The following is a 17,939-nucleotide window of genomic DNA, read 5'->3' as shown; positions in this document are numbered from 1 at the left end:
AATTGTCTTGATACCTAGAGGAAGTGAAAAAATACATTTGCTGAAAATGAGCTACTTCTTTTTTTTTTTTTTTTTTTTTTTTTTTTTTTTGTGAAATGGAGCCTTTCTCCATCACCCAAGCTAGAGTGAGTACAGCGGCGTGATCTCAGTTCACTGCAACCTCCACCTCCCGGGTTCAAGCAATTCTCCTGTCTCAGCCTCCCGAGTAGCTGGGACTACAGGCGCCTGCCACCACGCCCAGCTAATTTTTGTATTTTCAATAGAGATGGGATTTTACCTTTTTGATCAGGCTGGTCTTGAACTCCAGGCCTCAGGTGATCCAACCGCCTCGGCCTCCCAAAGTGCTGATATTACAGGCGTGAGCCACCACGTCCGGCTGCTGCTTCTTTAGTTTAGGGCAGAGGTTGGCAAACTATGGCCCAAGGCAAAACCTAGCACATCACCTAGTTTTAGGGCTGTTTTTTGTTTGTTTGTTTGTTTTTGTTTTTTGTTTTTTGAGACAGAGTTTTGCTCTCATTGCCCAGGCTGTAGTGCAGTTGTGTGATCTCGGCTCACCGCAACCTCTGCCTTCCAGGTTCAAGTGATTCTCCTGCCTCAGCCTCCCAAGTAGCTGGGATTACAGGCATGCATCACTATGCCTGGCTAATTTTGTATTTTTAGGAGAGATGGGTTTTCTCCATGTTGGTCAGGCTGGTCTCAAACTCCCAATCTCAAATGATCTGCCCACCTTGGCCTTGCAGATTGCTGGGATTATAGATGTGAGCCACCGCGCACAGCCAGGGGTTTTTGTTTGGTTTTAAAGAGACACACATACTGCTCTGTAGCCCAGGCTGGAGTGCAGTGATGCAATCATGCAACTCACTGTAGCCTCAACCTCCTGGGTTCAATTGATCCTCCTACCGGGTCTCCCTGTGTTGCCCAGGCTGGCCTTGAACTCTTGGGCTCAAGGGATCCACCTGCCTTAGACTCCCAAAGTGCTGGGATTACAGGCATGAGCCACTCTACCTGGCCCCTACAATACTATCTTGACCCTTTACAGAAGTTTGCTGGCCCTGGTTTAGAGCCAAAGAGAAGTGATTCCTGGATCTGTCCCATGCCCCTCCCACCCCGCCTCTGGGCTGAGTGTAGAAGCAGCTCATTTCTCTTAAACGCTGACCCTGTCCTGTGGGGATGGTGACAAGACTCGGAGGGTCCCATGAAGAAAAGCCTTAGATAGCTGCTTTATGAGCAGGCACAGGAACAGGTAGACAACAGGAGGGTGTGAGCTTTTGGGTGAGAGTGAACGTAGCTGCTATGACTGTAGCAGGGCTTCCGAAATACCTGCCTCTCTTGGGTGGATCACTGTGGTGTTAGCTAGTGGAGATCAGTTTCGGCTATCCACCACTTGTGTTTTCAGGAGATGGTTAGAGTGATTACGAGCAGAGGCCTGTGGGAAGAATGAGATGCATATTGGTTTTGTTTTTTCGTTTTGTTTTGTTTTTGTTTTTGAGATGGAGTCTCGCTCTGTCACCCAGGCTGGAGTGCAGTGGTGCCGTCTCAGCTCACTGCAACCTCCACCTCCCGGGCTCAAGCAGTTCTCCTGCCTCAGCCTCCCTAGTAGCTGGGATTATAGGCGCGCACCACCATACCCAGCTAATTTTTGTATTTTTAGTAGAGACGGGGTTTTGCTACGTTGGCCAGGCTGGTCTCGAACTCCTGACCTTAGAAGATCCACCCTCCTCGGCCTCCCAAAGTGCTGGGATTACAAGCATGAGCCACCGCGCCCGGCTGATATGCATATTGTTAACATTACTTTGTTCTTGGACCCTGGAAGAGGACATGTGGAATGGGAGGTGGGCCCTTAAACGGTGCTGTCTTGTTGCCCTTTCTGAGGCAGAGAGTTAACAGGAAGGGACTTTTGTCATCCTCTAGATCCGGACCATCGCCATCATAGCTGAAGGCATCCCTGAGGCCCTCACGAGAAAGCTGATCAAGAAGGCGGACCAGAAGGGAGTGACCATCATCGGACCTGCCACTGTGAGCTTCCCCTCCGGAAAGCCTTTTACGTTCGATGCTATCTTATGAAGTTCAATGCCCTTAGGAAGTTTACTTTTTGACTCCTCTATCTCCCTCCTAGGTTGAGAAGATTCAGGAAGTATGTGTTGAAAATCAGTCTGTCCATTTTTAGCTTTTTTTTTGAGACACAGCCTCACTGCAATGCCTAGGCTGGAGTGCAATGGCGCGATCCTGGCTCACTGCAACCTCCGCTTCCGGGTTCAAGTGATTCTCCTGTCTCAGCCTCCCAAGTAGCTGGGATTACAGGCACCCGCCACCATGTCCGGCTAATTTTTGTGTTTTTAGTCGAGACGGGATTTCACCATGTTGGTCAGGCTGGTCTCGAACTCCTGACATCGGGTGATCCACCCACCTCGGCCTCCCAAAGTGCTGGAGTTACAGGTGTGAGCCACCGTGTTTGGCCTTTTTTTTTTTTTTTTTTTTTTTTTTTTTCTTTGAGACGGAGTCTTGCCCTGTTACCTAGGCTGGAGTGCAGTGGCACGATCTTGGCTCACTGCAGCCTCTGCCTCCTTGGTTCAAGCAATTCTCCTGCCTCAGCCTCCCGAGGAGCTGGGACTATAGGTGTGAACCACCACGCCTGGCTAATTTTGGTATTTTTAGTAGAGACAGGGTTTCACCATGTTAGCCAGGCTGGTCTCAAACTCCCAACCTCAGGTAGTCTGCCCCCTACAGCCTCCAAAAGTGTTGGGATTGCAGGCGTGAGCCACCATGCCTGGCTGAAATTATTCTTTGAATTATTTTTTGTTTGTTTTTTTAAGAAGCAGGGTCTTGCTGTGTTGCTGGAGTGCAGTGGCTTTTCACAGGTGCAGTTATAACACACTTCAGCAGCCCCGAACTCCTAAGCTCAAGCAATCTCCCTGCCTCAGCCTCCTGAGTAGCTGGGATTCCAGAAGTGTTCTCCACACCTGGCTTATTTTTACTTCTTACTGTATTAAAAAAATGGAGCTAGTATTTATTTCCAAAGAGCTGAGATTACAGACCTGAGCCACTGTGCCGGGCCAAGTATACGTATCTGAACCTGAATTAGTGAGCCATGCTTTACAAATAAGGCTCTCTTTTGTTCTGTATGTCTCTTGAGAGAGAGAGGAGACTTTCCTAAGCAGGAAACCCAGTGGGCAAGTGTGATTTCTCTTGGTCATTCTCTCCCCAGCCTGGCCAGAAGGGGCTGGGCAGTAATGCAGGGGCTTTGTGATTCTTTGTGGTGAATCTGGAAGTCACCTTCCTCCCTGATTGTGGTTTCTGCCCCCACAGGTTGGAGGCATCAAGCCTGGGTGCTTTAAGATTGGCAACACAGGTGGGATGCTGGACAACATCCTGGCCTCCAAACTGTACCGCCCAGGCAGCGTGGCCTATGTCTCACGTTCCGGAGGCATGTCCAACGAGCTCAACAATATCATCTCTCGGACCACGGATGGCGTCTATGAGGGCGTGGCCATTGGTGGGGACAGGTAATCAGCTGGGAAGCCAAGGAGGGGCTTCCTGCTTTGAGAGCAGTGGGCTAGGAGACGATGCTGTGTCCTGCAGGCTGCTTGCTGCCCCTGAGTTCCAGGCCCGCAGGAATGCTGCTGAAGTCTAAACAATGGGGCATCACTGCTCTTGTCTCAGGACTGACAGAGCATGAAATCGGAAAACACAGAACAGGGCAACAATGTGCAGGAGGGGCGACTGGGCTTTGGGGATAATTCTGTTTGTTGTGATTGGCCATAGGGAGGCAGCAGAGTACAGTGGTTAGGAGGGCCAGTTCTGAAATTGGACTAAAGAGGTTCAAATCCCATTTTCCCTCTTTAGTAGGGGGTGGGTGGCAGGGGCCATCCTGGTCCGGTTACTTAACCTCCCTAGACCTCCATCATTTTTACACATCAAATGGGTAAATAATACCCCCACCTCATGGGGCTACTGGAGGAATAAATGAATTGTAATACATATAAGTGTCTGAGCCAGGGCCTGCGTTCAGCAGGTGCTCAGTGAGTTTTTATTGTAGTTAATAATAGTATCCTCATTATTTTTGGTAGTGGGAACACTGATCAGTAGGTCATGAATACAGTATTATATCTCAGAGTAACGTCTGGCACTTAGTAGGTTCATAATAAATGTTAGCCATTATTGTTTATTATTCCTACTATTACTACTGCTGTCGGGCTTAGAAACCAAAAGCTGTTGAGATAGAGTCACCTTGTTCGTCTCCCTGGCTCTACCACATGATTTCCGATAGGATGCCTGGGTGAGGAAGAACTCTCACCAAGGTCTTTAGGGGTGTAGCCTGGGAATCCCCAGTCCTTGGGTACTGCCTGACCAAAGGCTCAGGGAATAAGTCTAGGAAATGCTGCTTGTTTAGATTGTCTTCTTAGATTTATAATGATCATATCAAAAGACATGAAGAGGCCAAGAACAGTGGCTTATGCCTATAATCCCAGCACTTTGGGGGGCTGAGGGAGGAGGATTGTTTCAGCCCAGAAATTCGAGACTAGCTGAGGCAACACAGTCTCGAATTTGGTAGAGACCCCCATCTCTACCAAAAAAAAATTAGCCGGATGTGGTGGCATGTGCCAGTAGTGCCAGCTACTTTGGAGGCTGAGGCAGGAGGATTGCTTGAACCCGGGAGGCGGAGGTTGCAGTGCACCAACATCGCACCACTACACTCAAGCCTGGGTGAAAGAGCAAGACTTCATCTCAGAAAGAAAGAAAATATGTGTGTGTTCTTAGGTTTTTTTTGTTTGTTTGTTTGTTTTTGTTTTTGAGACGATCAAAAAATTCAAGCGATCCTCCCGTCTCAGCCACCTGAGTAGCTAGGACTGTACAGGCGCCCACGACCACACCTGGCTGATTTTTGTATTTTTAGTAGAGACGGGGTTTCGCCATGTTGGCCAGGCTGGTCTGGAACTCCTGACCTCAGGTGATCCACCCTCCTGGGCCTCCCAAAGTGCTGGGATTACAGGCGTGAGCCACTGCGCCTGGCCGGAATTTGTGGATATATTTTAAAACAACTGCACCAGGGCGTACTTTCTAAGTCATCTCTTACTGCTGAGCGAACCTCTCTGGGCTTATTTTGTGCCCAGTCTTTTCCTTTGCAAGTTAAATAGCTCCAACTCCTTCCCTCTTTCTTCTCTTCTGTTCCATTTGCTACCTTCCCCTGTCCATTATTGCTGGGGCATCTCTGGACCCTTACTGGCCATCCACATCCCCCCAAAATCCAGTGTACCCAGTACAAGTGTGCTTCCTAACCCTGTACACACTTCCCCAGGCCTCCTCCTGATCCTGTATCCTGATACTCCCTGCTCTCAACAGGTACCCGGGCTCCACATTCATGGATCATGTGTTACGCTATCAGGACACTCCAGGAGTCAAAATGATTGTGGTTCTTGGAGAGGTGAGTTACTTTAAAAAAAAAAATTATGATTTTAAAACTGTAATGCATGATCTCAGTTTTCAAAAAATTAAAACATTTTGGTTACATGTAACTTAAAGGGACAGTCCCTGGTAATCCCATCCCCTAGATGCTGGGGCCTCAAGGTTGTCACTATTAGTACTGCCATTTATGTTTCAGAGAAGGGAGTTCTTAATCTCCCAGCATCCCAAACTTTAGCGCCAATAAGAGAGAAGCTCTGCTCTGGCTGGCCATGGTCTCTACCTGGTGGGCAGTGGAAAGCTGGAGTAAAAAAAGTGCATTTTTTTGGCCAGGTATGGTGGCTCACACCTGTAATCCTCCCAGCACTTTGGGAGGCTGAGGCAACTGGGTCACTTGAGATCAGGAGTTCTAGACCATCGTGGCCTACATGGTGAAACCCCATCTCTACTAAAAATATAAAAATTAGCCAGGCATGGTGGTGCACACTTGTAATCCCAACCACTCGGGAGGCTGAGGTGGGAGAATCACTTGAACCCAGGAGACAGAGGTTGCAGTGAACAGAGATAACGCCACTGCCCTCCAGCCTGGGAGACAGATCAAGACTCCGTCTCAAAAAAAAAAAAAAAAAAAAGCAAAAAAAAAGCGCTTTTTAAAAAATGTGATGACTTTTGGATAGAACGGTTAAAAAAAATTTTCTAAATACTAAAAAATTTGGGAGTCCCATAACCCCATCCCTTGTTTGCACCTCTGAAGGCAGGTCTAATCCTAAATCATGTTATATTTCTAGATTAGGAAGGGGGAGTCCCAGAGATTCCTCTAGGAGACCTGCTGTTTGTTCCTTTAGAAATCTTCCTTGTGTCCAGGCTGAAATTAAACTCCTTTTATTTGGCCAAAGCCCGTGTCACTCCATTTTCTATCCAGTTTTTACGTCAGGATGGGCTGCACTAACTTGGCTTTTTCTCATTCCCCATTCCTTGGCAGATTGGGGGCACTGAGGAATATAAGATTTGCCGGGGCATCAAGGAGGGCCGCCTCACTAAGCCCATCGTCTGCTGGTGCATCGGGACGTGTGCCACCATGTTCTCCTCTGAGGTATGGCTGAGATGGGTCACTTCTGGGCTGGGAGTGGGGATTGCAAGAGGGGGCATTTGAGGCGAACCAGGTAATCATCTTATTAATTCGCAGCTAGTTCCTTCAAGAAACGTTTGTTACTTGCTTGGTTACTACAAAGTCCAGCCAGGGCCCTGCTCTCTGGGAGCTTATATCCAGTTGGAGGAGACCAATTTATAAGCAGATTAAAGCTACAGTCAGGCTCTGAGTCCCTACTTGGCGTAGGTAGCAACCAGCTGTCTGGAGAAGTTGAGATGGCATCCCTGAGAAGGTGATGTTTGAACTGTAGTTTAGGGGATGAGAAGGGCTTTGCTGATGAAAGGGAGGCCAAGGAGGGAGAAGGACACAGCCTGGGCTCAGCTGGGCGGGGCTTGGTGAGATGTTTTGTGTGGGGAGAGGTGGTAGAAGGAAAGGTTTGTTCTTGATGTGTTAAAATGATAAAATGTACTTGAAAGTGTCTGGCGCACCTGATGGTGTTGAATATAAACACTCCTTGGGCTTCTGCTGTCTGCTAAGCTTCTGAGCTATCTGTCTTCTGCTGGGGGATCATACGCCAGACTTCAGCCCCTGTGCTTCGGCTTAGAGAACCCTTTACCACCTTGAAGGTGGCTCACGTGATGATGATGAAATTGAAGGAAAAGCCGGGTACCTGGTGTGTGTACAAGAATACTCTGCAGTATCATTAACAGCAAAAACTGGAAACAACTTTTTTTTTTTTTTTTTTTTTTTTTTTTTTGGAGACAGGGTCTCACTCTGTCGCCCAGGCTGGAGTGCAATGGTGTGATCTCGGCTCACTGCAACCTCCGCCTCCTGGGTTCAAATGATTCTCCTGCCTCAGCCTCCTGAGTAGCTGGGATTATGGGCGCATGCCACCACACCCAGCTAATTTTTGTATTCTTAGTAGAGATGGAGTTTTACCATGTTGGTCAGGCTGGTCTCGAGCTCCTGACCTTGTGATCTGCCTGCCTCATCCTCCCAAAGCGCTGGGATTACAGGCGTGAGCCACCATGCCTGGCCTGGAAACAACTTACATGCTTATCAGGAGGGGACTGTCAGCATGGCATATCCACAAACTAATGGAAAACAGGGCAGGCATGCAAAGAAGGAGGTGGAACTTGATATGTTGATACAGAAAGAGTTTAAGATACATTACCTGTAAGAAAGGGCAGAGTTCAGTAAATGCTTATAATATCCATTTTGTGTAAAGTGTGTGTGTATGTGGGTTTTATTTTTTATTTTTCCATGTAAGTAAAAGGGGAGGAGAGGTCCAGAATCCTGCCCATCCCTCCAGGGTGAGCTCTGCTTGCACAGGCTTTAAAATCAGACCTTGGTAGATCTGTGTAGCCAGACGTGGTGGCAGGGGCATATAATGCCAGCTACTCGGGAGGCTGAGGCAGGAGAATTGCTTGAACCTGGGAGGCGGAGGATGCAGTGAGCTGAGATCAGATCTTTAAAATCAGATCTTGGTAGACCTGGGCAAGTCATTTAGCCTCTTGGTAACTGTTTCCTGAGCTGTAAAATGAGGATGCCATGCCGCAAGGTTGTTGTATGACTTAAATGAGGAAGTAATTGTAAAGGTCTGGCGTGCATAGGTCTTAGAAACTTCTTTTTTTTCCCATGCCTTGTCAGTCCGCTTATTCCATGAAGCTGTTCCTGATTCTCCTTTTTTTTTTTTTTTTTTTTTTTTGAGACGGAGTCTCTCGCCTAGGCTGGAGTGCAGTGGTGCGATCTCAGCTCACCGCAGCCTCTGCCTCCCTGGTTTAAGCAATTCTCCTACTTCAGTCTCCCAAGTAGCTGGGATAACAGCCACCACGCCCGGCTAATTTTTGTATTTTTAGTAAAGACAGGGTTTCACCATGTTGGCCAGGCTAGTCTCGAAGTCCTGACCTCAGGTGATCCACCTGCCTCGGCCTCCCAAAGTGCTGGGATTACAGCCGTGAGTTACCGCACCCAGCCGATTCTCTTTCTTCTTGAGTGCTCTCCCCCAACTCCATTGCTCTCCCCCCAACTCTGTACTCGCCCAACAGCCAAAAACCAGTCACCCTCCTCCATTGTTTCTCCTGGCTTGCTTTGCATTACCAGCCCCTCCCCCTTTCCACCCCACCTCCCCATCCCCACCATGATCAGGACACTTCTAAGAGGGTGAGCACCTCGCATTTCAGTATCTGGTGGCACTCATCGCCCCATGGGTGGGGTGGGTCCTTGAATTATTTTAGGTTTTTGTGTTTTTTTTTTTTTGAGACGGAGTCTCGCTCTGTCGCCCAGGCTGGAGTGCAGTGGTGCAGTCTCGGCTCACTGCAAGCTCCACCTCCGGGGTTCACGCCATTCTGCTGTTTCAGCCTCCCAAGTAGTTGGGATTACAGACGCCCACCACCACACTCGGCTAATTTTTTTTGTATTCTTTTAGTAGAGATGGGGTTTCACCGTTAGCTAGGATGGTCTCAGTCTCCTGACCTCATGATCCACCCATCTCGGCCTCTCAAAGTGCTGGGATTACAGGCGTGAACCACTGCGCCCAGCCCTTTAGTTTTGTTTTTTAAATAATTCATCTCCCTTTTAGAAATTTTGTTTTTAGTTTTGAGAAATCCAGAGTTACAAGAAACTTAACTTCTTTAAACCTAGGGTTTCTGAGTATAGACTCTCTTCTTCCCACCCATCTGCCGATGCAGATTAAATCCTACAAAGAACGCATTGGGAACTCACGCTTTAAGGTGTCTTTCAACCTTTGCTTACAGAGCAGCAGTTCCTAACCTTTTCACCTTTTTGTTCTGTTTGCATGGTGAAGAGCACAGGCTGAGGCCAGATTGCCTAGGTTCAAGTGCTACCACATGCTACCTGTGTGACCTGGGATAAATCACTTTACCCATCTGTGCTCCCATTTCCTTTTTTATAGGAAACGATCATAGCTACTGAGATTGAATGAGTAAAACTCTTAGAAAAGTGCCTGAACATAGTGTTATGTAAACAGGTTAGATAGTACTATGATTACTCTCTGCACCCCATCCTAAGACAAGGCTTTGCATCAGATGTCTTGTGGGTTAATTTCCTCCATCGCTTGATTAAAGACTCAGTCACGCTGGGCGCGCTGGCTCATGCCTGTAATCCCAGCAGCTTGGGAGGCTGAGGTGGGTGGGTTGCTTGAGTCCAGGAGTTGGAGACCAGCCTGGACCACATGGCGAAACCCTGTCTCTACTAAAAAACTACAAAAAACTTTTAGCCAGGCATACACCTGTGGTGGCATACGCCTGTAGTCCCAGCTACACGGGAGGAGGTGGGAGAATCACCCGAGCCTGGGAGGTTGAGGCTGCAGTGAGCCAAGATAGCACCACTGCATTCCAGCCTGGGGAACTGGAGCGAGACCCTGTCTCGAAAAAAAAAAGAAAGAAAGAAAAGACACAGACACCATTTAGCACTTCTTTTTTTTTTTTTTTTTTTTTTTTTTTTTTTTTTTTTTTTGAGACGGAGTCTTGCTCTTATCACCCTGGCTGGAGTGCAGTGGCGCAATCTTGGCTCACTGCAACCTCAGCCTCCTGGGCACATATCTATAGTCCCAGCTATTGAGGAGGTTGAGGTGGGAGGATTACCTGAGCCCAAGGAGGCCAAGGTGCCAGTGAACCGTGACTGCATCACTTTACTCCTGCCTGGGTGACAGAGTGAGACCCTGTCACTTAAAAAAAAAAAAAAAAAAAAGGCGGGGGGGGCAGGCGTGGTGGCTCACACCTGTAATCCCAGCACTTTGCAAGGCCGAGGCTGGTGGATCACCTGAGGTTAGGAGTTCGAGACCAGCCTGGCCAACATAGTGAAACCCCATCTCTACTAAAAATACAAAAATTAGCTGGGCGTGGTGGCAGGCACCTGTAATCCTAGCTACTCGGGTGGCTGAGGCAGGAGAATCGCTGGAACCCAGGAGGCAGAGGAAGGTGATTCTGGAGTTGGGCTGCCAGTCTTTGTATCCTGACTTCCATGCACCTTAGCTGCGTGACCCTGAGGAAGCTCCTGAACTTCTCTGTGCTTTGGTTTCCTTGTCTGTAAAATGGAAATCATCTATTGTACCTATTCAGTGAGCTTGCTTGAGGCTTAAATGAAGTGATTCATGTAAAGTGTTTAGCACACTTTACATGGGATTCTATGTTCACTCTTGGGGGATTAGCAGTAAAGCTACTTTCCTTTGCTTTCCAGGTCCAGTTTGGCCATGCTGGAGCTTGTGCCAACCAGGCTTCTGAAACTGCAGTAGCCAAGAACCAGGCTTTGAAGGAAGCAGGAGTGTTTGTGCCCCGGAGCTTTGATGAGCTTGGAGAGATCATCCAGTAAGTGGACCTTGGGGAGGATGCCGGCCTCCCCCTCCTTTCCAAATCCCTCCTGAGACAGCAGCCTCTCCCACACAGGGACATCATGTATTCCTGGTCCCTCTCGGTGTCTAGCGCAGCTGTATGGATGGTTCAAAATCCTCTTTCTCTTTGGCTTTCCTTTTGTTTTATTTAGTTTGTGGAGGCAGTAGGTCTAGGCTGGTATTAAAATGTGTTGAGTTTCTGAGCCTACCTATTTGGCTGGGAGGTGGCAGCCATAGATGAGAGCGCCACATGAAAATGTTTAGAGAGTGTTATCTATGATTGATAGAGAGTTATTAGATATCCTGTGATCTCTTCCCATTTCTACCTCTTAAACCTGCCTGGACTCCCGGCTGTGTCCTTCCTTGCCATCCAGAGATTGGGACATGAGGTAGTAGGGAGCAGAGGGCAGGTGCAGTCTTGGCTAGAACTTCTTTTCATTTAGTTCTCAGAATTCAGCAGGTAAGAGTAAACTAAGAAACCTACAGTGTTTGGGTTAGATAGAGCATTCTTGGGATGTCTTACAGGAGCCCAAAATAAGAAAATCCACATGGATGTCTTTTTTTTCCTGCCTCCCAGGTCTGTATACGAAGATCTCGTGGCCAATGGAGTCATTGTACCTGCCCAGGAGGTGCCGCCCCCAACCGTGCCCATGGACTACTCCTGGGCCAGGGTAGGTGCCTTAAATGTCTCTAACAGTGTGAGCAAGGGAGATCTGTGGGTCTATGGTGGTGGGTTTCGCGTTGATTTGCCTTGAACTCTTGGAAACCAGGCCTTCTGTATTAGTCGGGGATCTCTTAGAGGGACAGAACTAATAGGATATATATATATAAAGGAGAGTTTATTAAGTATTAACTTACATGATCACAAGGTACCACAATAGGCTGTCTATAAGCTGAGGAGCAAGGAGAGCCAGTCCGAGTCCCAAAACTGAAGAACTTGGAGTCCGATGTTTGAGGGCAGGAAGCATCCAGCACAGGAGAAAGATGTAGGCTGGGAGGCTAGGCTGGTCTCTCTTCTTCACATTTTTCTGCCTGCTTTATATTTGCTGGAAGCTGATTAGATTATGCTCACTACACTAAGGGTGGATCTGCCTTCCCCAGCCCACTGACTCAAATGATAATCTCTTTTAGCAACACCTACACAGACACACCCAGGATTAATACTTTGTGTCCCTCAATCCAGTCAAGTTGACACTTTTGGAGGTCAAGGTGGAAGGACTGCTTGAGACCAGGAGTTGAAGGCTGAAGTTAGCCATGACTGTGCCACTGCACTCCAGCCTGGGTGACAGAGTGAGACCCTGTCTGTAATTTAAAAAAAAAAAAAAAAAAAGGGCTGGGCCTGGTGGCTCATGCCTGTAATCCCAGCACTTTGGGAGGCCAGGGTGGGCGGATCACCTGAGGTCAAAAGTTCGAGACCAGGCTGGCCAACATGGTGAAACCCCATCTCTACTGAAAAAATACAAAAATTAGCCAGGCGCGGTGGTGGGCTCCTGTAATCCCAGCTACTCGGGAAGCTGAGGCAGGAGAATTGCTTGAACCTGGGAGGCAGAGGTTGCAGTGAGCCAAGATCGTGCCATTGCACTCCAGCCTGGGCAACAAGAGCGAAACTCCGTCTCAAAAAAAAAAAAGGAGAGAGAGAGATAGAGAACATATTCATGTTGTTTTTGTAATAAAAATGTAACTGTAAAGCATTTTAAAAATTCATAGAGGATAATTGGAGAAATAGGATTGGACTAAATTGGCTGATTTGCCTCAACTCTGGAAATGGGAAATTCAGGAATTCAGTCCCCGTCCCCTGGGTAAAAGACATATTGAAGGGCTCCCCCATTTCTTTTTTTTTTTTCCTTTTTTATTTTTTATTTTTTTGTATTGATCATTCTTGGGTGTTTCTCGCAGAGGGGGATTTGGCAGGGTCATAGGACAATAGTGGAGGGAAGGTCAGCAGATAAGTGAACAAAGGTCTCTGGTTTTCCTAGGCAGAGGACCCTGGGGCCTTCCGCAGTGTTTGTGTCCGTGGGTACTTGAGATTAGGGAGTGGTGATGACTCTTAACCAGCATGCTGCCTTCAAGCATCTGTTTAACAAAGCACACCTTGCACTGCCCTTAATCCATTTAACCCTGAGTGGACACAGCACATGTTTCAGAGAGCACAGGGTTGGGGATAAGGTCACAGATCAACAGGATCCCAAGGCAGAAGAATTTTTCTTAGTACAGAACAAAATGAAAAGTCTCCCATGTCTACTTCTTTCTACACAGACACGGCAACCATCCAATTTCTCAATCTTTTCCCCACCTTTCCCCCTTTCTATTCCACACAACCGCCATTGTCATCATGGCTCGCTCGCAATGAGCTGTTGGGTACACCTCCCAGACAGGGTGGTGGCCGGGCAGAGGGGCTCCTCACTTCCCAGTAGGGGCGGCCGGGCAGAGGCGCCCCTCACCTCCCGGACGGGGCGGCTGGCCGGGCGGGGGGCTGACCCCCCCACCTCCCTCCCGGACGGGGCGGCTGGCCGGGCGGGGGGCTGACCCCCATCTCCCTCCCGGACGGGGTGGCTGCCGGGCGAAGACGCTCCTCACTTCCCAGACGGGGTGGCTGCCGGGCGGAGGGGCTCCTCACTTCTCAGATGGGGCGGCTGCCGGGCGGAGGGGCTCCTCACTTCTCAGACGGGGCGGTTGCCAGGCAGAGGATCTCCTCATCCCCACATCTCAGACGATGGGCGGCCGGGCAGAGACGCTCCTCACCTCCTAGATGGGATGGCGGCCGGGAAGAGGCGCTCCTCACTTCCTAGATGGGATAGCGGCCGGGCAGAGACGCTCCTCACTTTCCAGACTGGGCAGCCAGGCAGAGGGGCTCCTCACATCCCAGACTATGGGCGGCCAGGCAGAGACGCTCCTCACTTCCCAGACGGGGTGGCGGCCGGGCAGAGGCTGCAATCTCGGCACTTTGGGAGGCCAAGGCAGGCGGCCGGGAGGTGGAGGTTGTAGCGAGCTGAGATCACGCCACTGCACTCCAGCCTGGGCACCATTGAGCACTGAGTGAACGAGACTCCGTCTGCAATCCCGGCACCTCAGGAGGCCGAGGCTGGCGGATCACTCGTGGTTAGGAGCTGGAGACCAGCCCAGCCAACACAGCGAAACCCCGTCTCCACCAAAAAAATACGAAAACCAGTCAGGCGTGGCGGCGCGCGCCTGCAATCGCAGGCACTCGGCAGGCTGAGGCAGGAGAATCAGGCAGGGAGGTTGCAGTGAGCCGAGATGGCAGCAGTACAGTCCAGCTTCGGCTCGGCATCAGAGGGAGACCGTGGGGAGAGGGAGAGGGAGACCGTGGGGAGAGGGAGAGGGAGACCGTGGGGAGAGGGAGAGGGAGGGGGGCTCCCCCATTTCTTTAGCCACGTATCTCGTCCCCCCTTTTTTTTTTTTTTTGAGACGGAGTTTCACTTTTGTTGCTGAAGCTGGAGTGCAATGGTGCGATCTCTGCTCACTGCAACCTCCTCCTCCCAGATTCAAGCGATTCTCCTGCCTTAGCCTCCCGAGTAACTGGGGTTACAGACACATACCACCACGCCCAGCTAATTTTTGTAGTTTCAATAGATAATGGGGTTTCACCATGTTGGCCAGGCTGGTCTCGAACTCCTGACCTCAAGTGATCCGCCTGCCTTGGTCTCCCAAAGTGCTGAGATTACAGGCATAAGCCACTGTGCCCTGCCCCATTACGTTATTGTTATGGTTGGCAGCTATATCTGAAGTGTATGTAAGATTTTCCCTTTGGATTCATTTTACCATTTCTTACCCAGGTGACCTTGGGCTGGTTACTGAGCCTCTCTAAGCCTCATTTTTTTTTTTTTTTTTTTGCTATAACACAAGGAATGCTTCTCCTTTGTGAGGTTAAAATGAAGCAATGGGCTGGATGCAGTGGCTCACGCCTGTAATCCCAGCACTTTGGGAGGCCGAGGCAGGCGGATCATGAGGTCAGGAGATTGAGACCATCCTGGCTAAAACGGTGAAACCTCATCTCTACTAAAATTACAAAAAATTAGCTGGGCGTGGTGGCAAGCGCCTGTAGTCCCAGCTACTTGGGAGGCTGAGGCAGGAGAATGGCATGAACCTGGGAGGCGGAGCTTGCAGTGAGCTGAGATCGTACCACTGCACTCCAGCCTGGGCGACAGAGCAAGACTGCGTCTCAAAAAAAAAAAAAAAAAGAAGCAATGGACTGGGTCTCACGCCTGTAATCCCAGCACTTGGGGAGGCTGAGGTGGGAGAACTGCTTGAGCACAAGAGTTTAAGACCAGCCTGGACAGCATAGCAAGACCCTGTCTCTACAAAAAAATTTTAAAATTAGCCAGGCGTGGCGGTGCGTGCCTTGTTGCCCCAGCTACTGGGAGGCATAGCTGGGCAGATCGCTTGAGCCTAGCTAGGAGTTTGAGGCTGAAGTGAGCTATGGTCTCACCAGTGTACTCCAGCCTGGGCAACAGAGAGACTCTGGTCCCCCTCCAGAAATGAAGCAATGGATATGAACTGCTTAGGCTATTTCCTAGCCCAGCAAATGCTCAGGGAAGGATAGAAATAGAGCTGATAGTGCTGATGCCAAGTGGTGTCATGGGTCCTCCTGTTTTCTATGTCCAAAATGATCTAATGAAAGGGCTTTTGCACTTCTTTCTTGGGAAAACTTTGAGAGTTGTTACTTGGCTGCCAGAGTTTACGACATTCCTGGGGTGCTTTGGTTCTGAGAGTACACACAGCAGGGCAGTCCTGGAAAAATCTGTGGTGGTCACCAGGGCCCTGCTTCCCTCTTCCCCATCTCTGCCCAGGAGCTTGGTTTGATCCGCAAACCTGCCTCGTTCATGACCAGCATCTGCGATGAGCGAGGACAGGAGCTCATCTACGCGGGCATGCCCATCACTGAGGTCTTCAAGGAAGAGATGGGCATTGGCGGGGTCCTCGGCCTCCTCTGGTTCCAGAAAAGGTGAGCATGGAGGGCAGAAGATTACAGGGCCCTGCAGCTCAGAGTTAATGATTTTCCCCCAACAAAGGGGTGGGAGTGGACAGGCCTGGGGAGTGTGTCCAAGATCAATCTTTGGGGCCACAGGTCAATTGAGCGGCCAGAGGAAGGACACATAAACTATTCCTAAGTCTTCCAAGGACAGAAAGTCCAGTCACATGAGCCACTGCACCCAACCAAATGCAGATCTCTTGACAGCAAGATAGAGGTTAGGCAGGAGAGAACTGGAAAGATGTGGTGGCCTAAGGAGTGTGGGCCTGGTGGAGCTGCTGAACAGATAGAAAGTACCTTATGGGCTAGGCGCGGTGGCTCACGCCTGTCATCCCAGCACTTTGGGAGGCCGAGGTGAGTGGATCACCTGAGGTCAGGAATTCAAGACCAGCCTGGCCAACATGGTGAAACCCCATCTCTACTAAAAATACAAAAAGGTAGCCAGGCATAGTGGTGCACGCCTGTAATCCCAGCTAATCAGGAGGCTGAGGCAGGAGAATCACTTGAACCCGGGAGGTGGAGTTTGCAGTGAGCCAAGATCACACCATTGCACTCCAGCCTGAGCAACAAGAGCAAAAATATTCCGTCTCAAAAAAAAAAAAAAAAAAGTACCTTGTGTTCACTTTGCAAATTTGTTTCTCCCATCAGCTTGAATGTTAGAAAAAATTGGTTTTCTCTGCAACTCCCAATCTTAGCCCTCCCGTGGGACTGACGGCTGGGCAGGGGAGCCAGTGAGTATGTGATTCACAGAGCCCTGGGCTTAATGTGATGCTGGGCAGAAGGCCAGGTCAATGTCTTTGGTTGTGTCATGCCCTCACCTGCAGAGAGATGGGTCTTGGTCCTGCTTTGGACCCTTCCTGGGAAAAGTTCACGGGTTATAACACCTGAGCAGGTCTCTCTCTGTCTGCTCCTGCCTCCCACCTCTCCATACTTTGTTCCTGATTCTTAGTTGGGAGGTTGAATACTACAGGAATGAGGCATGGGGCCTCCTACACTGTGAAGGGACAGGGTTCTCACCTCCTGTCAGTCTGGCACATGGAGCATAGCCACAAATACAGGTCAAATCCTGGTACAGGCAACTCATGCTGAAAATCACTGATCAAAGAATAGATTCAAAACTCTGGTTTCAAACTCTGTTTTACAAACAGTATTTGGGGCCGGGCGCGGTGGCTCATGCCTGTATGTAATCCCAGCACTTTGGGAGGCCGAGGTGGGCAGATCACTTGAGGCCAGGAGTTCGAGATAGCCTGGCCAACATAGCAAAATCTCGTCTCTACTAAAAATACAAAAATTAGCCTGGCGTGGTGGTGCGTACCTGTAGTCCCAGCTACTTGGGAGGTTGAGGCAGGCAAATTGCTTGAACCTAGGAGGTGGAGGTTGCAGTGAGCCAAGATCACACTACTGCATTCCAGCCTAGGCGACAGAATGAGACTCTGTCTAAAGAAAAGAATCAGGAGGTTTTGCCTTAGAGTTGTGTGGTAGTATTAGACTTGGATTGGTAGTTACCCTTCTTGGATTTGAATGACTTGTTTAGGGAGATGGGGGAAAGTACGAGCATGGCCTTGTCGACCATCTCCTGGCCTTTGTTCCCCCCACTCCAGGTTGCCTAAGTACTCTTGCCAGTTCATTGAGATGTGTCTGATGGTGACAGCTGATCACGGGCCAGCCGTCTCTGGAGCCCACAACACCATCATTTGTGCGCGAGCTGGGAAAGACCTGGTCTCCAGCCTCACCTCGGGGCTGCTCACCATCGTAAGTACTGTCATCATGGGAGGTGAACAGTGGGGACACTGGGCCTTGGCCTCATGCTGCTTTGCCACAGCAGGGCCCTAGAAGGAGCCCCTGAGTGTAAAACCCAGTGCTCAGGGCCGTTCGGGACACACTGGGTTGGTTTGCCCAGCTGAAGGAAACTCTTAAAGCTCAAGGCAACACGCACTTGTTTCTCCTCCAGGGGGATCGGTTTGGGGGTGCCTTGGATGCAGCAGCCAAGATGTTCAGTAAAGCCTTTGACAGTGGCATTATCCCCATGGAGTTTGTGAACAAGATGAAGAAGGAAGGGAAGCTGATCATGGGCATTGGTCACCGAGTGAAGTCGGTGAGTTGTTACT

General features: G+C 49.6%; 1 protein-coding gene across 5 annotated transcripts in view; it reads left to right on the top strand.

Annotated features, from left to right (window-relative positions):
* Positions 1 to 17,939, top strand: part of ACLY (ATP citrate lyase) — a 63,629-nt gene that overhangs the window by 40,931 nt on the left and 4,759 nt on the right. For all 5 annotated transcript variants that reach the window (XM_005257395.2, NM_001303275.1, NM_001303274.1 and 2 more), the window contains 9 exons: positions 1,912 to 2,016; positions 3,307 to 3,503; positions 5,341 to 5,422; positions 6,383 to 6,493; positions 10,691 to 10,818; positions 11,419 to 11,512; positions 15,650 to 15,804; positions 17,433 to 17,583; positions 17,783 to 17,926. In XM_005257395.2, coding sequence (XP_005257452.1) covers positions 1,912 to 2,016; positions 3,307 to 3,503; positions 5,341 to 5,422; positions 6,383 to 6,493; positions 10,691 to 10,818; positions 11,419 to 11,512; positions 15,650 to 15,804; positions 17,433 to 17,583; positions 17,783 to 17,926 — 1,167 coding nt within the window. The remainder of the gene's footprint in view (positions 1 to 1,911; positions 2,017 to 3,306; positions 3,504 to 5,340; positions 5,423 to 6,382; positions 6,494 to 10,690; positions 10,819 to 11,418; positions 11,513 to 15,649; positions 15,805 to 17,432; positions 17,584 to 17,782; positions 17,927 to 17,939) is intronic.

The sequence above is a fragment of the Homo sapiens genome, chromosome 17 (assembly GCF_000001405.40).
Source record: "Homo sapiens chromosome 17, GRCh38.p14 Primary Assembly".
NCBI classification, from domain to species: domain Eukaryota; kingdom Metazoa; phylum Chordata; class Mammalia; order Primates; family Hominidae; genus Homo; species Homo sapiens.
This window is presented reverse-complemented; position numbering and strand designations above follow the sequence as displayed.